Below are 20,497 nucleotides of genomic sequence, written 5' to 3' on the forward strand. Positions count from 1 at the left end.
TCTCAGACCAAGCTGGTGATAATAATTTAAACCCACACAAATAAGCCCATACTTAATTATTTTTCCTTTTTAGGACAGAGTCTCACTCTGTTGCCCAGGCTGCAATGCAGTGGCACAAACTTGGCTCACTGCAGCCTTCACCTCCCGGGTTCAAGTGATCCTCCTGCCTCAGCCTCCTGAGTAGCTGGGATTACAGGCATCCGCCACCATACCCAGCTAATTTTTGTATTTTCAGTAGAGACCAGGTATCACTATGTTGGCGAGGGTGGTCTCGAACTCCTGACCTCAAGTGATCCGCCCACATCAGCCTCCCAAAATGCTGGGATTACAGGTGTGAGCCACTGCGCTCAGCCTAATAAGCCCATACTTAATTTTTAAAAAATTGTTTGTTGGCCAGGTGCGGTGGCTCACACCTGTAATCCCAGCACTTTGGGAGGCCTACGCAGGCGGATTGCTTGAGGTGAAGGAGTTTGAGACCAGCCTGGCCAACATAGTGAAACTTCGTCTCTACTAAATAAACAAAAATTAGCCAGGCGTGGTGGTGTGCGCCTATAATCTCAGCTACTCAGGAGGCTGCGGCAGGAGAATCGCTTGAACCTAGGAGGCGGAGGTTGCAGTGAGCCGGGAACGCGCCACTACACTACAGCCTGGGTGACAGAGCAAGACTCCACCTCAAAAAAAAAAAAGTTTTTTTTTGTTTTATTGTGGTAAAAACACTTAACACAAGATCTACCCTCTTAACAAATTTTCAAGTGTACAATACATTAATGTTGACTATAGGTACAGTGTTGTATGGCAGATCTCTAGAGCTTTTTCCCGTTTGACATTAATTTTACATACATTGTTTAGCAACTCCCCAATTTCTCCTCCCCCTCAGCCTTTGGCAACCACCATTTGACTCTGTCAACCTATGAATCTGACTAGATACCTCACATAAGTAGACTCACATAGTTATTTATCTTTCTGTGACTGTATTATTTCCCTTAGCATAATGTCCTCAAGCTTCATCCATGTTGTCACTCTTTGGGATCCTGATTTTATTTTGGATAAATATCTAGAAGCATGATTGCTAGACCATCTGGTAGTTCTATATTTAATATGTCAAGGAACCTCCATACTGTTTTCCATAGTGGCCGCTTGTACCATTTTGCATTCCCACCAACAGTGTGCAAGGGTTCCAATTTCTTCACTCCCTTGCCACTTAAAAAAAATAGCCATCTTGACATTGACAGGTGTGAAGTGATGATATTTCATTGTGGTTTTGATGTGTACTTCTCTGATGATTAGCAATGTTGAGCAATTTTTCATATACTTGGCCACTTTTATGTCTTCTTTGGAGAATGTCTATTCAGGTCCTTTGTCCATTTTTTTTTTAATCTTACAGTGAATTATATTGAATTCAAAGGTAGTATTCCTATTTGAGAAATAAAAAACTAAAATCAAGTTGTACAAGCAATCATCATGAGATAAATCAGTAAAGAGGCCTGCTCAGATCATACCAGAGCAGACACCAGTTTCTACCCCAGCCCGCATGAAGATGTTTTTATTCAACACAAACAGTAACAGAGGGTAACACAATGGCCACAGAATGAGAACATAAGTGCACTTGAATTTTTTGTGAGTTCTGGCTAGGCTCTAACAAGCCTAGCATTCTTTTCTTACCAGGTGAACAGAAATCATCTGCTAAAGCCAGAAACTTTAAAGCTCTTAATCCAGCTGGAAATAACTATAATTGAGGGCCTTTTTACTAGCTACTTGCTTCCCAATTTAGGGTTGCCTAGCAGGGTTAATTTCAACATAACGAAAGGTGTTAACTGGCTGGCCGCATCATTCACTGGTGACAGGGGCAAGTTTAATGAGTTTTGTGCTCAGATCGCTGGGCCTCCTGGCTGCTCTTGTCCATCTCTGCACTTTGGTCCTAAGCATTCTGAGACTCAGTCAGTTGAGGGTGAAAGGGACCTACCAGCCAGTTGAGGGGCATGTTGTTAACAAGAAATCCATCAAGTCATCTAAAGATTCCTTCATTTTCTGCAGCTGCCCCTTGCTAGAAGTGGAGGCTGTCAGACACTTCCTCAAAGGAGGCAGCATTGCAGAACACTGAGTAGATGTCGCCTGCCATCACCCTCATATGCTTGGCCTGACCTTGGATGTTCTGTGGTCATCATGGATGTTGGACAGAAGGCCGTGGCATGTGGTCTGGAGCTGCTAAGTCAGGTTGCAGGCAATAGCAAGAGTACGTGACTCGATGTGCTCTGCACAGTGGGACTCATCAGTATCATCGTATCCAATATTCCTTTTCCACTCCACCCATGAGAGCTAGAGCTTATCCTGAGCATCCTGAATTTTCTGATTGGCACTATGCACACTCTTCCTGGCAAATTCAATCAAGTGAACAGAAGAACGGAGCTGAGAAATGGTCTCTTGGCTTTTTTGCTTAGCTTCTTTAACCCTGCTGAGAGCCTGCTCATACGAAGTGAAGCTTGGTAGACAGGGAGTGAAGCTTGGTAGACAGGGATCCCAGTCTAACATAACAACTTGGCTTCTGAACCATATCATATCCTTCAACTTTTTTTGCTTCTTTTTCTAGTTCTTCCCCAGTGAGAGGGAGGTACTGTCCTACCAAGAGCTCTGATTTGGTGAGCGCATGTTCCAAGCCACTGCTCATGAGCTGCATTATCTGACTTCCTAAGCTTGTGTTAATGCTGCCACTGACACAGACTTGGGTCTTCTCCACAGTGCCAGTCACTACCCCTTTGGTCTTGTCCATCAACCCTGTGATGAATCCTTGGCCCCAGTCACAGTAGTCGTCACAGCATCTTTTGCCCCAGTCACAGCACCTTTGGCATTGGCAACAACCTGAGTTGATGGCTGATTCAGAATAGGCAGTCTCTCCTCAATCCTGTCTAGCCCCTTACAGACACGGATATTGGCAACTGCAATTTGCAGCTCTAGCTTCTGGATGATGGGCAGAGCACACTGGTCATGGCCACCGAGGTGATGGTCTTCACACCCTTCCCTGCCATCTCACACACAGACTTCAAGTAGGACACTGGTCCTTTGTACTGACATGGGCTGAGGACATGGGGTCATATGTGGAGCTCATCAAGGGCAGGTTGACCACCCGAGTCATCACACTCAGTTGTGGATCAACTGCAACAGATGCCATTTTTCTTCCTGGAGAAATAAATCAACGGACGGCAGTGAAGCGCCTATTTTTTAATATACATATATTTTTTGCTACTGAGTTGTATGAGTTCCTTACATATGTTGGAGATTAACCCCTTATCAAATATATGGTTCACAAACATTTCCTCACATTTTGTAGATTGCCTTTCCATTCTGCTGTTTGCTGTGCAGAAGCTTTTTAGGTTGATGCAGTTCCACTTGCTTTTGTTGCCTGTGTTTTTGATGTCATATCCACGAAATCATTGCCAAGACCAATGTCATAATGCTTTTTCCCTGTTTTCTTCTTATGAGTTTTATAGTTTCAGGTCTTATGTTTAACTCTTTAATCCATTTTGGGTTGATTTTTGTGTACAGTACAAGATAATTTCATTATTTTGCTGTGGATATCCACTTTTCCCAACAACATTTGTTGGAGGGACTATCCTTGCCCTATTGATCCTTTCCTTATTGTATATTCTTGAGTCCAAACATAAATTTTCAGGAGACATTCCCATCTACCCCCAGCCAGAGCCCAAGCTGAGACACAGAAGTTTCCTTGTTTCCTCAAACTAGTAGATGGAATTTTCTGTGGTCCCTTCCTTTCTCTTGAGTATGAACCTTCAAGGCTCCCTGCTTTATATAGAGATTTGCATTTCTAACTCTGTTCCATACAGGCCTAAGGCTCATGGACATTAAAACGAAGCCTTTAGGCCAGGCACGGTGGCTCACACCTGTAATCCCAGCACTTTGGGAGGCTGAAACGGGCGGATCGTGAGGTCAGGAGATCGAGACCGTCCTGGCTAACATGGTAAAACCCCGTCTCTACTAAAAATACAAAAAAATTAGCTGGGCTTGGTGGTGGGCACCTGTAGTCCCAGCTACTCGGGAGGCTGAGAGAGGAGAATGGTGTGAACCCGGGAGGTGGAGCTTGCAGTGAGCCGAGATCTTGCCACTGCACTCCAGCCTGGGCGACAGAGCAAGACTCCGTCTCAAAAAACAAACAAACAAACAAACAAAAACCAAGCCTTTCAGTAACTGAGACTAGGCAAAGCACCCAGAAATACCACAGCATTAAGTAACATGCATACTGCTCATTTTCAGTTCCTCTTTCATTTGCAGTCCCTGAGAATTTTCCTTAATTCTTTCAGGCTCAACTAGCTATACATTTTTAAAAGTTTGTTTAAAAATTAAAAAATAGTTGTTACATTTCATCCAGCATTACTAGGTGTTTTGTAATGAAATAGCAGAAGTGTTTTAGGTTATATAGTCTATTATACTGCCATTATAAAATATGCTGGTCTGGAAATTTAACATTTATTTTCATAAGAACTAGTTCAGTTCATATAAACAAAATAACTCCACAGACGACTAATTGCAAAAGGAAAAACACATCTTAACAATGGAACAATCTTGCTGTTACCTTACCGTAGGGATCAAACTTTTCACTGCAGGCATTGAGACAATTAACATGGAAACAATCTGACAAATCTACAATGTGGAACATATTTCAAATCAATGAGCACGGTCTCTTCAAAAAAGTTGATATAAAAAAAAAGAGGTGGTGATACAGACTGTTCTAGGTTAAGAGAGACTTACAGACATAATCAAATATAATGTATAATCTTTGATTGAATCTTGGTTTAAACACAGCTACAAAAGATACTATGGGGAACTGGGTAAATTTTCAAATGGACTAAGTATTAAATAATATTAGGGAATTATTATTAATCTTGTTGGTTATAATGGTATTGTGGTTGAATAGGAGATTGTCCGTATTTTTTTGAAACGTAACTGTAGCATTAGCTTTCTTTTTGTTTTTTTTTTTTGTTGTTGTTGTTTTTGAGACAGAGTCTTGCTCTGTTGCCCAGACTGGAGTGCAAGATCTCAGCTCACTGTAACTTCTGCCTCCTGGGCTCAAGTGATTCTCTCACCTCAGCCTCCCGAGTAGCTGGGATTACAGACAGGTGTCCCCACGCCCGGCTAATTTTTGTATTTTTAGTAGAGACAGGGTTTTCCTATGTTGGCCAGGCAGGTCTCAAACTCCTGACCTCTAGTGATCCACCCACCTTCCCCCTCCCAAAGTGCTGGGATTACGGGCGTGAGCCCAGCCTACTATTAGTTTTCTATGGCTGCTATAATAAATTACCACAAATTTAGTGGCTTAAACACAATACAAATTGTATTACCTTTCATTCAGAAAGTCATTAAGTCTAAAATGGGTCTAATTAGGCTAAATTCAAGGTATGAGTATGGCTCCTACTTATTTTATATATTTTTTTTTTACACAGGGTCTGGCTCTGTCACCTGGGCTGGAGTACAGTGGCATGATCTCGGCTCACTGCAACCTCTGCCTCCTGCAGCTCAAGCGATTCTCCCACCTCAGCCTCTGGGACTGGGAGTAGCTGGGACTACAGGTGCGCATCACCACGCCCAGCTAATTTTTGTATTTTTTGTAAAGATGGGTTTTTGCCATGTTGCCCAGGCTGGTCTCGAACTCCTGGCCTCAACTGATTCATCCGCCTTGGCCTCCCAAAGTGCTGGGATTACAGGCATGAGTCACCGTGCCCAGTCAGCTCCTACATTTCTTCTGGAGTCTCTAGAGGAAAATCCATTGTCCTGCTGTTCCCTGCTACAGACAATCTACTCTGCTGGGTTCATGGCCACTTTCCTCATCTTCAAGTATCAGGCCTACTCCTCTGACTGCCAACTCTTTGACACTCTTCTGCCTCCTTTAGGACCCTTATGATTATATTGGCCCACCTGGATAATCTAGAATAATTTCCACATTTTAAGGTCAACTGATTAGCAACCTTAATTCCATCTGCCATCTTAATTCTCTGTTGCCATGAAACGGAACATATTCACAGGTTATGGGGGCTGGAGTATAGACATCTTGGGAGAAGGGGCATTATTTTGCCTACCACAGCAATCTTAAGTATTTAGAGGTGAAAGTCTAAAACTTACTTTGAAGTGGTTTAGAAAAAATGTTTATGCTATATATCAACAGCATATTGGTATGTGCCAAGCAAATATGGCAAAATATTCACTGCTGAACAAGATGGTAGTTACACAGCTGTTGCTCGTACTACTCTATTTTTCTATATGCTTAAATATTTTCAATTTAAAATTTAAAAACTAAAAACATTTAAAACTTTAAGATTAAAAAAATTAAAACAAATAAGCTGAACACAATGGATTCCTTTTTCTAAAAATGTCTACTGAGCACGGTAGCACACACCTGTAATCCCAGCACTTTGGGAAACTGAGGTGGAAGGATCACTTGAGGCCAAGAGTTCAAGATCTGGGCAACATAGCGAGACCCCCATCTCTAATAAATAAACCAACTAACCAAAAAAAAGAAAGAAAGAAAAAAGAATGCCTTTAACTTGACCACTCAGAACTGGAAAGTAATGTGGCAGAACATGGACAGTCCATGACATTTAATTGAGCAGTATGAAATGCAAGTAGCCTAGCCCTCCAGATACTATGGATATGGTTACTTGTTGGCTTGTAAGGGATTAAATTCCTTTTTGCATGCAGATGATAGGGTTTCATCTGAAGACTGAAATGATTATGTTAATCATCACAGCCCTATTTGCCTTGGGGAAAAAACATATCAGATAAGAAACCTGGACTACTATGTCTTCCTTTTGTATGTAAAAAGGAATAAACAGTATGCTTTATAATTCCTTATAAAGCATAACTTAAATATACATATGCATATGCATATATATATATATATATATAAATTGGCCGGGCGCAGTGGCTCACACCAGCAATGCCCAGCACTTTAGGAGGCCAAGGCAGGCGGATCACCTGAGGTCAGGAGTTTGAGACCAGCCTGGCCAACATAGTGAAACCCTGTCTCCACCAAAAATACAAAATTTAGCTGGGTGTGGTGGTGCGCACTTGGAGTCCCAGCTACTCGGGAGGCTGAGGCAGGAAAATCGCTTGAACCCGGGAGGCGGAGGTTGCAGTGAGCCAAGATCGCGCCACTGCACTCTAGCCTGGGCGACAGAGGGAGACTCTCAAATGTGTGTGTGTGTAATTATAACTTGCCTTTGATATAGTGTCCCTTCATAGAAAACGGATGCCCTTTTCTACTGTAGGCACTAATTAAATTAGTGGCACCTGATAAACTTTTCACATTGATAAAATATGTAAAACTTAGTCACTATATTCACTATAGTCCCCTTATCAAGTTAGAAAGTGGGAGGTAAAAAAGGAGAGAGAGATGTCTCTGGAATGGTCCTGGAACATGAGTCCTTAAGATATTTATAATCAAGAAGCGCTGAAATCATCATCCATTCTTACATGTGAAGAAGAGCTCCTTTGTAGTTTGCCTTCTGCCACAGGAGACATCAATCAGCCAGAGGTCCAAGACCTGTTTACCCCTACGTAATGTTTTTTAAAACTCTGAATTAGATAATCCAACAAGACCTTCTTTCTGAAGGCTGGAAGCAATAAGAACTTCCATCTCATTGAAGAGGTCAAGTGAAGATTCTTTTGAAATCATTCAGTTTTGAAGCACCTACCTAGTATTGTAAGAAATACAAATAATTTGACAGTGAATTCAAGGATAATATAGTAACTGGAGAAATCTGGAGATGCAATTGCTCTCAAATAGAGAAGAGGCCCAGTAACAAGAATGTTAAAATGTGGCTGACTTCAAGAATAGGATCAAGGTCTCAAACTAGATAGTTCTGAATTCTTCCCCCTTCCTATAAGGTTGTTCTTTCTTCTGCCTGGTGAGTTATGGGAGAGTGACGGGATATCCTTCCTTCCAATCTAACTTATTTCTCTTCTTATAGTCCATATTTATAATAAAGACATCATCATTCCCTTTATTGAGTTAAAAATCCAGAAATCAGGCTGGGGGCATGGTGGCTTACACCTGTAATCCCAGCACTTTGGGAGGCCAAGGTGGGCAAGAGTTCAAGATCAGCCTGGGCAACATGGCAAAACCCCATGTCTACAAAAAACACGAGTTCAAGACCAGCCTAGGCAACATGGCAAAGCCCCATCTCTACAAAAAATAGAAAAATTAGCCCAGGATGGTGGCATGCACCTGCGGTCCCAGCTACCCAGGAGGCTGAGGTGGGAGGATCGCTTGAGCTCAGGAGGTCAAGGCTGCAGTGAGCCGAGATCATGCCATTGCATTCCAGCCTGGGGAACAGAGCGAGACCATGTCTCATAAACAAAGCCCCGGCTACTCAGGAGGCTGAGGCGTGAGGATCACTTGGGTCTATGTAAAGGCTGAAGTGAGCCATGACTGTATCACTACACTCCAGCCTAGGTGACAAGGCAAGACCCTATCTCCAAAAAAGAAAAGAGAAACAATCAAATTGCATATGTATGTGGGTATATATGTATGTTATGTATTTGTAAGTATCATTAAAAAAATTAGACATGAAAAGGGGTCAGAGAGTGGTGTTAGGGTAGGGGAAGAGACTATTCTTAAAAGTATGGTCAGGAAAGTCCTGTCAGAAAAAATAACATTTGAGCAAGTCCTGAATTAAGGGCAGAAGTGAACTGTGCAAATATCTGGGAGAGGAGGTAACAAGTAGAGGTCACAGCAAGGATGTTGCTTGAGACAGGATAGCATTTAGCCTGTGCAAGCAACAGTAAAAAGGTACAGATGAAGTGCTAAATCCAAGACGGAGGGTGGTACTTTAAGACTATATAGGGTGCAGTGGCTCCCAGCACTTTGGGAGGCCGAGGTATGTAGGATGATTGAGCTCAAGAGTCCAAGACCAGCCTGGGCAACATAGCAAGATTCCATTTCCACTAAAAATACAAATAGAAATCAGGCAGGTGTGGTGGAGTGTGCCTGTTGTTCCAGCTACTCAGGAGGCTGGGGTGGGAGGATTGCTTGAGCCTGGGGGATCTAGTCTGTAGTGAGCCATGATTCCACCACTGCACTCCAGCCTGGGTGGCTGCAAGACTTCACCTCAAAAAAAAAAAAAGACCATGCAAGGCGAGGCGAGGCGGCTCATGCCTATAACCCCGGCACTTTGGGAGACCCAGGTGGGTGGATCACCTGAGGTCAGGAGTTCGAGACCAGCCTGGCCAACACAGTGAAACCCTGTCTCTACTAAAAATACAAAAATTAGCCAGGTGTAGTGGCACGAGCCTGTAATCCCAGCTGCTCGGGAGGCTGAGACAGGAGAATCGCTTGAACCCAGGAGGTGGAGGCTGCAGTGAGCTGAGACTGCACCACTCCACTCCAGCCTGGGTAACAGAGTGAGACTCCATCTCAAAAAAAAATAATAAAAAAAAAAAAAGACCATAGACATTACTTTTATGAATAGAGTAATAATATGTCCTAGTTTGTATAGAACATGTCCCAGTTTATTCTCTCATGATGATTAACAATGTTCCTTTCACCTTTAATAGCGTCCTAGTTTGGAGGGTAAATTATATGGTCATCCCTATCTCCATTCCTCCAGGCAATTTTTCCTTTCTTTGTGCTGTCAAGGAATTTTCTTTTCTTTTCTTTTTTTTTTTTTTTTTTTTTTTTTTTTGAGACAGAGCCTTGCTCTGTTGCCCAGACTGGAGTGCACTGGCGCGATCTCAGCTCACTGGAACCTCTGCCCCAGGTTCAAGCGATTCTCCTGCCTCAGTCTCCCAAGTAGCTGGGATTACAGGTGTGGCCACCACGCCCAGCTAATTTTTGTATTTTCAGTAGAGACAAGGTTCCACCATGTTGGCCAGGCTGGTCTCGAACTCCTGACCTCAAGTAATCCACCTGCCTTGGCCTCCCAAAGTGCTGGGATTACAGGTGTGAGCCACTTGCACTCGGCCTGTCAAGGAATTTTGGAAACATGTCATTTTCTGTGTCTTATTACTGAATTACTTGTCCATTTCCCTTAGAAAACTGTGAGCACCCAGAAGTCATGAATGGTATGTAGTTAAACTATTTTCTTTCCTTTTTCTTCCAAAAGACAGGGCCTCACTCTGTCACCTAGGCTGGAGTGCAGTGGTGCAATCAAAACTTCCTGTAACCTTGAACTCCTAGGGTTAGGCAATCCTCCCACCTTAGCTTCCCGAAGAGCTAGGACTACAGGTGCGTGCCACCTCAACCAGCTAACTTTAAAATTTTTTGCAGAGATTGGGTCTTGCTATGTTGCCCAGGCTGGTCTCAAACTCCCAGCTTCAGGTGATCCTCCCACCTTGGCCTCCCAAAACATTAAGATTCCAGGCACGACTCACTGCCACTGGTAGTTAAAATTCATTTTCTTATCTACTTAAAAAAAATTATTTTTGAGAGACAGGGTCTCTTTCTGTCACCCAGGCTGGAGTGCCGTGGCACAATCATAGTTCACTGCAATCTCCAACTCCTGGACTCAAGTGATCCTCTGGACTCAGCCTCCCAAGTAGCTGGTACTACAGGTGCATGCTACCACACATGGCTAATTTTTGGTAGAGACAGGTCTTGCTATGTTGCTGAGGCTGCTCTTGAACTCCTGACCTTAAGTGATCCTCCCATCGTGGCCTCCAAGTCATAAACCACGGGGCCCAGCCCATTTTCTTAACTTTTTCACCTAACCAGTATATAACAGGCACTCAAAACATTTCTTGTTGAATGAACTGGCTTTAAAGGTCTCTGTCTCCTGCAAACATACTCTAAAAAGAGGAGCTAGGCAGAGGAGAGAAAGTGTGTGGAGTTACTTCAGGCAGCAAACTTCAAGCTGAGAGTAAGTCGGAAGAAAGGGTAATCTAAGATTAACAGAAACGGATCCATATACAAGGAGTCTCAGAACTTTAACTGAGAAGGACGCCTGCCTCCAAATTGCTTCTAATCCATTAAAAATATATATATTATAACCTTCAAGAACTTGTCAGAAAAGTAAAAATAGGCCCAGGTTGGTGGCTCATGCCTGTAACCCTAGCACTCTGGAAGGCCAACGCAGGAGGATCACTTAAGGCCAGGAGTTCAAGACCAGCCTGGGCAACATAGTGAGCCACTGTGCCTCCCACCCCGGGCCATCTCTATTTATTTTAAAAATCAGAAATATATACATAAAAAAAGAGGAAAAAAAGGTTCTCAGACATTTCAAAGAAACATCATTAAGTTATATATTTAAAAAATACGGCCGGACACAGTGGCTCATGCCTGTAATCTCAACACTTTGGGATTGATGGGAGGATCACGAGGTTAGGAGTTCGAGACCAGCCTGGCCAATATGGTGAAACTCCATCTCTACTAAAAAAAAAAAAAATTAGCCGGGCGTGGTGGTGCACGCCTGTAGTCCCAGCTACTTGGAGGTCGAGGCAGAAGAATCACTTGAACCCAGGAGGCAGAGGTTTCAGTGAGCTGAGATCACACCACTGCACTCCAGCCTGGGCAACAGAGCGAGACTCCATTTCAAAAAAAAAAAAAAATATATATATATATACACATATGTATATATATGTATATGTATATATGTATGTACGTATATGTATATATGTATATATATGTGTATATATATATATGCATATCACTAAAGTTTAGAGAAGGACTGCACAAGTCTAGGAAAATTTTTAGGATACAGAAACAATTCCGCATACTGCAACCTTGTGGCTAATATACATGTGAATAATAAGCTCCCTGCCATGTATCTCTATATACCTAGTTGCTAAAAGAGTACCTGCTCAAGAAATGTGAAGAATATAACTTACATTAGTTTTTCAGTTTACAACGTATTTTACATACATTATATCCTTTTTTTTTTTTTTTTTTTTTTTAGACTGAGTCTTGCTCTGTCACCCAGGATGGAGTGCAGCGGCGTGATCTCAGCTCACTGCAAACTCCACCTCCCAGGTTCAAGCAATTCTCCTGCCTCAGCCTCCTGAGTACCTGACGTTACAGGCTCATGCCGTCACACCCAGCTAATTTTTTTATTTTTAGTAGAGACGGGGTTTCACCATGTTGGCCAGACTGGTCTCGAACTTCTGACCTCAGGTGATCCGCCCGCCTCAACCTCCCAAAGTGCCAGGATTACAGGCATGAGCCATCACTCCCAGCCTTTACATACATTATATCTTATGTGATCCTCATAACATCCCTATAAAGATGAGCAAAGCAGTAAAACTGTCTCAATTTTATAGACGAAAAAATCAGTCTTCTTGGGGCTTGTAGAAGAAACTAGCTTCCAGCTTGCCAGTTTCCACACACAATCATTTTTATTTTCTGAAGAGCAATGTTACTCAAAGTGTGGGCCACTGACCACTGCAGTTCCATGAACTGCAAAAAGATAAGCACAGAAATTGAGAGTATTTAGAAAAAGCGTTAATTTGCCACTGCGCCTGGCCAATCTCTACTTTATTTCTTTTTTTTTTTTTTTTGAAATGGAGTTTTGCTCTTGTTGCCCAGGCTGGAGTGCAATGGTGCAATCTCAGCTCACCACAACCTCCACCTCCCGGGTTCAAGCAATTCTCCTGCCTCAGCCTCCCAAGTAGCTGGGATTACAGGCATGCGCCACCATACCCGGCTAATTTTGTATTTTTAGTAGAGACAGGGTTTCTTCATGTTGGTCAGGCTGATCTCAAACTCCCGACCTCAGGTGATCTGCCCACCTCGGCCTCCCAAAGTGCTGGGATTATAGGCATGAGGCACTGCGCCTGGCATACTTTTTTTAAGAGAAAAAAATAAATTAAAATGCAGCTTCCCAGGCCCTATTTCATGACATTAAATTTATTTGGGTGGGGCTAAGGAATCTGCATTTTTACTACTCTCTCCTGGTTATTACTAGGCACTGTAAGAATGACTGCTCCAAACTTTCACAAAGAAAAACAGGAAAGTGGCCGAGCACGGTGGCTCACGCCTGTGACCCCAACAGTTTGGGGGGCCGAGGCGGGTGGATCACCTGAGGTCAGGAGTTCAAGACCAGCCTGGCAAAATGGTCTTGAACTGTCTCTACTAAAAATGCAAAATTCTAAAAATACAAAAATTAGCTGGGCGTGGTGGTGCATGCCTGTAATCCAAGCTAATTGGGAGGCTGAGGCAGGAGAATCACTTGAACCCAGGAGGTGGAGGTTGCAGTGAGCCAAGATCACACCAATGCACTCCAGCCTGGGTGACGACAGTGAACCTCCGTCTCAAAAGAAAGAAATAAGAAAAAAAAAAAAACAACAGGAAAGTAAGCAATCTAAGTACATAATTAAATAAAGGAATAGGAGTTAGCTACATTTTTCCAACCTTCTCCAGTACTCATCTATAAAAATTCTGTTTTTCTTTTTTTTTTCCAAGACAGAGTCTCGCTCTGTCTTCAGGCTGGAGTGCAGCTGTGCGATCTTGGCTCAGTGCAACCTCCGCCTCCCAAGTTCAAGCAATTCTCCTGCCTCAGCCTCCTGAGTAGCTGGGACTACAGGCACGTGCCACAATGCCTGGGTAATTTTTTTGTATTTTTAGTAGAGACAAGGTTTCACCATGTTGGCCAGGATGGCCTTGATCTCTTGACCTTGTGATCCACCTGCCTCGATCTCACAAAGTGCTGGGATTACAGGTTATGAGCCACCACGCCCGGCCTAAAAATCCTGTTTTTCTTCATGCAAAGTAGAACGGATGTAGGCTTTCCTTAGGAATATTTTTTATATGAAAGAAAAACAAAAAATTCTTTTTATCCTTTATACCATGGAAGTAATAATAATAGGCACTAGGGGAGCAGAGTTTTGAACAGAGATCCTTCACAATGCTCTGAAAAGCATGATCTCAAATTTGTACACACACACATACTTGAGAGCCTCTTCTTCCCAGACAAAACATGTTGTAAGTGATACATTCATCACACAAGTCTGAGGACAGTTGGGAGAAAGTGCACTCCAAAAGGAAGACAAGTAACAAGGTATGTATTGGGGGCTTGGTGAGAGGGGATACAGGAGAAGGATTAACATCTGAATGAATGCTGATTATCGGAATGGTGAGAGCTAAGAACCAAAAAAACAGTATTTAGGTTCACATGTGTAATTTCAGCACTTTGGGAGGTGGAGGCGGGAGGAGAGCCTAAGCTCAGAAATGCTAGACCAACCTGGGCAATATAGGGAGACCTTGTCTCTACAAAAAATTTAAAAATTAGCTGAGTACAATGGCGCATGCCTATAGTCCCAGCTACTTGGAATGCTGAGACAGGAGGATCAATTAAACCTAGGAGGTCGAGGCTTCAGTGAGCTATGATTGTGCCACTGCAGTCTAGCTTGGGTGACAAAGCAAAACCCTGTGAAAGAAAGAAAGAGAAGAAGAAAAGAAAGAGATGAAAGAGAGGGAGGGAGGAAAAGGAAAGAAAGAAAGCAACAACAAAAAACCAAGTATCTAATTCTCAGAACATTCCTATGAAGTCCATATTATACCCATTCTATGAATGAAAAAACTGAGACTCAGAAATACTAAATACAGCCAGGCACAGTGGCTCATGCCTGTAATCCCAACACTTTGGGTGGCTGAGGTGGGCGGATCACTTGAGGTCAGGAGTTCGAGACCAGCCAGGTCAACATAGTGAAACCCTGTCTCCACTAAAAACACAAAAAATCAGCTGGGCACAGTGGCGTGTGCCTGTAGTCCCAGCTATTTGGGAGGCTGTGACAGGAGAATTGCTTGAACCTGGGAGGCGGAGGTTGCGGTAAGCCGAGATCCCGCCACTGCACTCCAGCCTGGGTGACAGAGAGACACTCCATTTCAAAAAAAATAGTATTATTTAGTATACTACATAATTTCTTATTTAGTATAAACCTGTCCAAGAAACACAACAAATAGGAAAGTCATGATTAAAATCTACGTCTAATTCTGGCCAGGCACAGTGGCTCACGCCTATAATCCCAGCACTATGGTAGGCCAAGGCGGGTGGATCACCTGAAGTCAGGAGTTCGAGACCAGCCTGGCCAACATGGTGAAACCCCGTCTCTACTAAAAAATACAAAAATTTTCTGGACGTGGTAGCACGTGCCTGTAGTCCCACCTACTTAAGAGGCTGAGGCAGGAGAATCGCTTGAACATGGGAGGCGGAGGTTGCAGTGAGCTGAGATCGTGCCACTGCACTCCAGCCTAGGTGACAGAGTGAGACTCCATCTCAAAAACAAATAATTTAAAAAAAAATCTACATCTAATTCTAATGACCAGGACACTCCCCTTCTACCACACCAAGGATGGTAAGTGGCTTTCAATTCCAATGCCAACTACATTTTACCGATGGTGATGACGTGGAACATTCTGTTACATAAGTAAAGACTTTTAATCAATTATTGTCTGCCATAAGAATAACATATAAAAACACTAGCACATATATAAACCAAGTATTTACCAGATTATTCTCATAATCAGACTAAAAATACCAGAGGCAATTTGAATTCAGCAGCCTATAAGGGTAACCACATTTTGCTCTTTAGAGAAACAAGAGCTGAGAGGTGGACATGACAGGGAAAGAGCAATGATTTAAACCTTAGAACGGTCTCAACGGGGTGCAGTGGCACACACTTGTAACCCCAGCATTTAGGGAAGCTGAGGTGGGTAGATCGCTTGAGCCCAGAAGTTTGAGGCCGGGCACAGTGGCTCATGCCTGTAATCCCATCACTTTGGGAGGCTGAGGCGGACGGATCATCTGAAGTCAGGAGTTCAAGACCAGCCTGGCCAACATGGTCAAACCCTGTCTATACAAAAATACAAAACTTAGCCATGTGTGGTGGCACACAGCTGTAATCCCAGCTACTCAGGAGACAGAGGCAGAACAATCGCTTGAACTTGGGAGGCGGAGGTTGCAGTGAGCTGAGATGGTGCCACTGCACTCCAGCCTGGCAACAGAGTGACACTAGGTCTCAAAAAAAAAAAAAAAAAAAAAAATTCATAGCTCTGTACACTAAATTAGTCATAATAGAGAGGTGAGAATGTTATAAGTATAGCTAATCCAGTAGCAGCCTAGCTATATTCTCTAATGACAATTCATGTATTTTAAAAGAGCAAATAATGATCCAAATAAATTATTTCTCAACCAAGCTTCTGAGATTAGTGGGCCTGTGTCCTCTACTTACAACTGTACAGGTGAATGAAAGACGATTTGTCTTCTAAACTGTAAACAAAATGCACTTTCAGTTTCTGGCAAAAATCACATAGCAATGGTCTTGCACCATCTCCAACCTGCCCTAATGCAAACCAGATGGCTGAGCTCGTTCCAAGCTATCTAATGCTTCCTATTATCAATCAATCCCAGTAATTATTCTGCACTTCCCAAGGATATAACCTCTCCATTTCAGTTTCCTAATGAATTTATACACACACACAAACCAAACTGCAAATTCCTCAAATGGGGGTAAAAGGCCCTAAAGAAAAGCAGAATGGGTACAGAAAAGGTTTCATTTTTGATGCTACAAAGAAGTGAAATTATTTCCAATGTACCTTGTTTTGTTTTGTTTTGTTTTGAGACGGAGTCTTGCTCTGTCGCCAGGCTGGAGTGCAGTGGCACAATCTCAGCCACTGCAATCTCCGCCTCCCGGGTTCAATAGATTCTCCTGCCTCAGCCTCCTAAGTAGCTGGGATTATAGGCGCACACCACCACACCAGCTGATTTTTGTACTTTTAGTAGAAACGGGGTTTCACCATGTTGGTCAGGATGGTCTTGATCTCCTGATCTAGTGATCTGCCTGCCTCAGTCTCCCAAAGTGCTGGTATTACAGACTCAAGCCACCGCCACCTGGCCTCCAATATACCATTTTATAGGATTACCTTAGAGGTTGGAATTAACTGTCAGAATGGAAAAGGGTATGGACAAGGGCTTGAGAAGAGCACACCTCGGTGTGGTATGGGAACGCTACTATTTCTAAGAGGAGACTTAGATAACATAGAACCAAAAGAAACCACACTGATCTCCTTACATGACAGAAACAAACAGAACATATCAGACCCCAAACTGCTTATTATACTACAATATATCTGGCAAGGTTAGCAACCAGGAGGTTAGAAATAAATTTGGCAAATCAGAGAAAATAATCTGACATGAATGATTATGGAAGACACCCGCTTGGGAGGCTGAGGCAAGAGGAGTGTCTGGACTCAGGAGTTTGAGGTCACAGTGAGCTATGATTGCACCATTGTACTCCAGCTTGGGTGACAGAGCAAGACCCTGTCTCTAAATAAATAAATAAATAAAATCAAGGACCCCAAAGAGAGCAGTAACTAAAAGAGTCACATAAGAGGCCAGGCGCGGTGGCTCACGTGAGCCTGTAATCCCAGCACTTTGGGAGGCTGAGGCGGGTGGATCACCTGAGGTCAGGAGTTCAAGACCACCATGGCCAACATGGTGAAACCCTGTTTCTACTAAAAATATAAATACAAGCCGGGCATGGTGGTGAGCATCTGTAATCTTAACTACTCAGGAGGCTGAGGCAGGAGAATTGCTTGAACCCAGGAGACAGAGGTTGCAGTGAGCCAACACGGTGCCACTGCACTCCATCCTTGGCGACAGAGTGAGACTCCGTCTCAAAAAACAACAAAAAAAAGAGTCACCATATTAGAAACAGAATTAAAATAAAATTTTAGGCCAGGCACAGTGGCTCACGCCTATAATCCCAGCACTCTGGGAGGCTGAGGTGGGCAGATCACCTGAGGTCAGGAGTTCAAGACCAGCCTGGCCAATATGGTGAAACCCCGTCTTTACTTAAAAAGTACAAAAATTAGCCAGGCGTGGTGGTGCACACCTGTAGTCCCAGCTACTCAGGAGGCTGAGGCAGAAGAACTGCTCGAACCCGGGAGGGAGGAGGTTGCATTGAGCTGAGATCGTGCCACTGCACTCTAGACTGGGTGGACAGAGGCAGACTCCATCTCAAAAAAAAATAAATAAATAAAAGAAAATAAAAATTTTAAAATTATTAATGCATTTAAAAATAAACCCATTCCATGTTAACATAACTTCTTTATGAAAAATATTTTCCAAAATAACAGAACAATTTAGTGAGAAAAGTGGCCTTGTTTTATATTTTTACAAATCTCTTTAATGTCTGGCTTAATAGCAGACAGCTGGATTCTCATAGCTGCCTCTGCATTCAATGTGCAGTGATGTTGTTCTAGTTAACAGCATGGGGGACGGGGTGGGGGTGGATGTGGTCTCACACAGATACACAGGAAGGTAGGAGTTCTTTTTTAAAAAATTTAAAGTCTTTAATAAACTTATGTTTTAAAACTAAGTTCTGAAATAATTTTAGACTTACAGAAGTTTCAAATATTCTTCACCCTGCTCCCCTAAATGTTAACATATAAACACAGTACAATTATTGAAACCAGGAAACAATAGTGTTTATTAACTACTCTACAGATCTTATTCACATGTCACCAGTTTTCCCACTAATATATATACTATATACTTTTTTTTTTTTTTTTTGAGAGATTCTTGCTCCGTCACCCAGGGTGGAGTGCAGTGGCACCATCTTGGCTCACTGCAGCCTCCCCTCCTGGGTTCAAGCCATTCTCCTGCCTCAGCCTCCCGAGTAGCTAGGACTACAGGCACGCACCATCACACCTGGCTAGTTTCGTATTTTTAGTAGAGACGAAGCCAAGATACTTAGAAGCCACTGTGTAAATATCCCATCTCCAATCAAAATTCCACATATTAATTTTAGCATACAAAGACAATTCTTGCTGGGCACAGTGGCTCACGCCTGTAATCCCAGCACTTTGGGAGGTCAAGGCAGGCAGATCACCTGAGGTCAAGAGTTCAAGACCAGCCTGACCAACATGGTGAAACCCCCTCTCTACAAAAATACAAAAGTTAGCCAGGCATGATGGTGGGTGCCTGTAGTCCCAGCTACTTGAGAGGCTGAGCCGGAAGAATCACTTGAACCCGGGAGGCAGAGGTTGCAGTGAGCCAAGATAGTGCCACTGCACTACAGCCCAGGCGACAGAGCAAGACTATATCTCAAAAAAAAAAAAAGACAACTCTTGCCTGCAACAAATACTGTAGTATTTGCCTAATGTTTCCATTATTCCTTTTCTATTTATCAACTTGAGTTTCACTGCAGAAAACAATTGTTTTCTTTCCCATATTTATTTATAGCAGCATAAACTTATGGATATTTATTTTACCCCATGGGTTATAATCTATTTATCATTATTTGTTTTTCAAACTGTCCCAGATCTGGCCATTGAAAGCTCCTTCAAGCTGGTTCTCTATTACTTTTTTGGCAATTTATTAGCTTCTGGTATCCACACGATGTTCCAGGTTCATCATCTTTTTTTATCTGCCCTAGCCATGTCTCCAAGCAGCTCTGGTTCCTCTTATTGGAGAATGGTGTTGCGAAACCAAGATCTGGTGTCAGGTGTGCTCACTGCTAGGTGGTGTCACTACTTCCAGGCCCTTTCAGAAAAGGAAATAAAATGCATGCATACACACGTAACATCCATATCTTTTTCTATATCTATATTTGCATATGTGTGTACCACTTGAAGATCCCTCATCAGAAAATCCAAATTGGGCCAGGTGTGGTGACTCACACCTATAATCCCAGCACTTTGGGAGGCTGAGGCGGCAGATGCCTTGAGCCCAGGAGTTCAAGACCAGCTGGAACAACATGGCAAAACCCTGTCTCTACATTTTCCTTTTTTTGAGATGAAGTCTGGCTCTGTCATCCAGGCACAATCTCGGCTCACTGCAACCTCTGCCTCCCAGATTCCAGCAGCAATTCTCCTGCCTCAGCCTTCTGAGTAGCTGGGATTACAAAGGCCTGCCACTATGCCCAGCGCTAATGTTTTGTATTTTTAGTAGAGATAGGGTTTCATCATGTTGGCCAGGCTGGTCTCGAACTCCTGGCCTCAAAAGATCCACCTGCCTCGGCCTCCAAAGTGCTGGGATTGCAAGCATGAGCCACTGTACCTGGTCACCCTGTCTCTACTTTTTACTAAAAAAAGGAAAAAATCCGGCCAGGCACAGTGGCTCACGCCTGTAATTCCAGCACTATGGGAGGCCAAGGCGGGCAGAATCACGAGGTCAGGAGATCGAAACCATCCTGGCTAACACAGTGAAACCCCGTCTCTACTAAAAAAATTTAAAAAATTAGCCGGACGTGGTGGCGGGCACCTATAGTCTCAGCTACTCAGGAGGCTGAGGCAGGAGAATGGCGTGAACCCAGGAGGCAGAGCTTGCAGTGAGCAGAGATCGCGTCACTGCACTCCAGCCTGGGTGACAGAGCCAGACTCCGTCTCAAAAAAAAGGAAAAAATCCAAAGTACTTCAAAATGTGAAAAAAATTCCACATCAAAATGCTGTCAAATGCAGTCAAAACTTTGCTTTATGCACAAAATGTTGTTATAAAATGACCTTCAAGCTATATGTTTAAGGTATATATGAAACAAATCAATTTTGTGTTTAGGCTTG

At 43.1% G+C, this 20,497-nt stretch overlaps 1 protein-coding gene and 1 pseudogene across 3 annotated transcripts in view; both read right to left on the reverse strand.

Moving 5' to 3' along the window:
* GATAD2B (GATA zinc finger domain containing 2B) overlaps positions 1–20,497 on the reverse strand; it is a 118,248-nt gene that overhangs the window by 45,522 nt on the left and 52,229 nt on the right. The gene's annotated exons all lie outside the window — the stretch shown is intronic.
* On the reverse strand, positions 1,376–3,205 carry LOC645965 (adipose differentiation-related protein pseudogene; annotated as a pseudogene).

The sequence above is a fragment of the Homo sapiens genome, chromosome 1 (assembly GCF_000001405.40).
Source record: "Homo sapiens chromosome 1, GRCh38.p14 Primary Assembly".
NCBI lineage: Eukaryota > Metazoa > Chordata > Mammalia > Primates > Hominidae > Homo > Homo sapiens.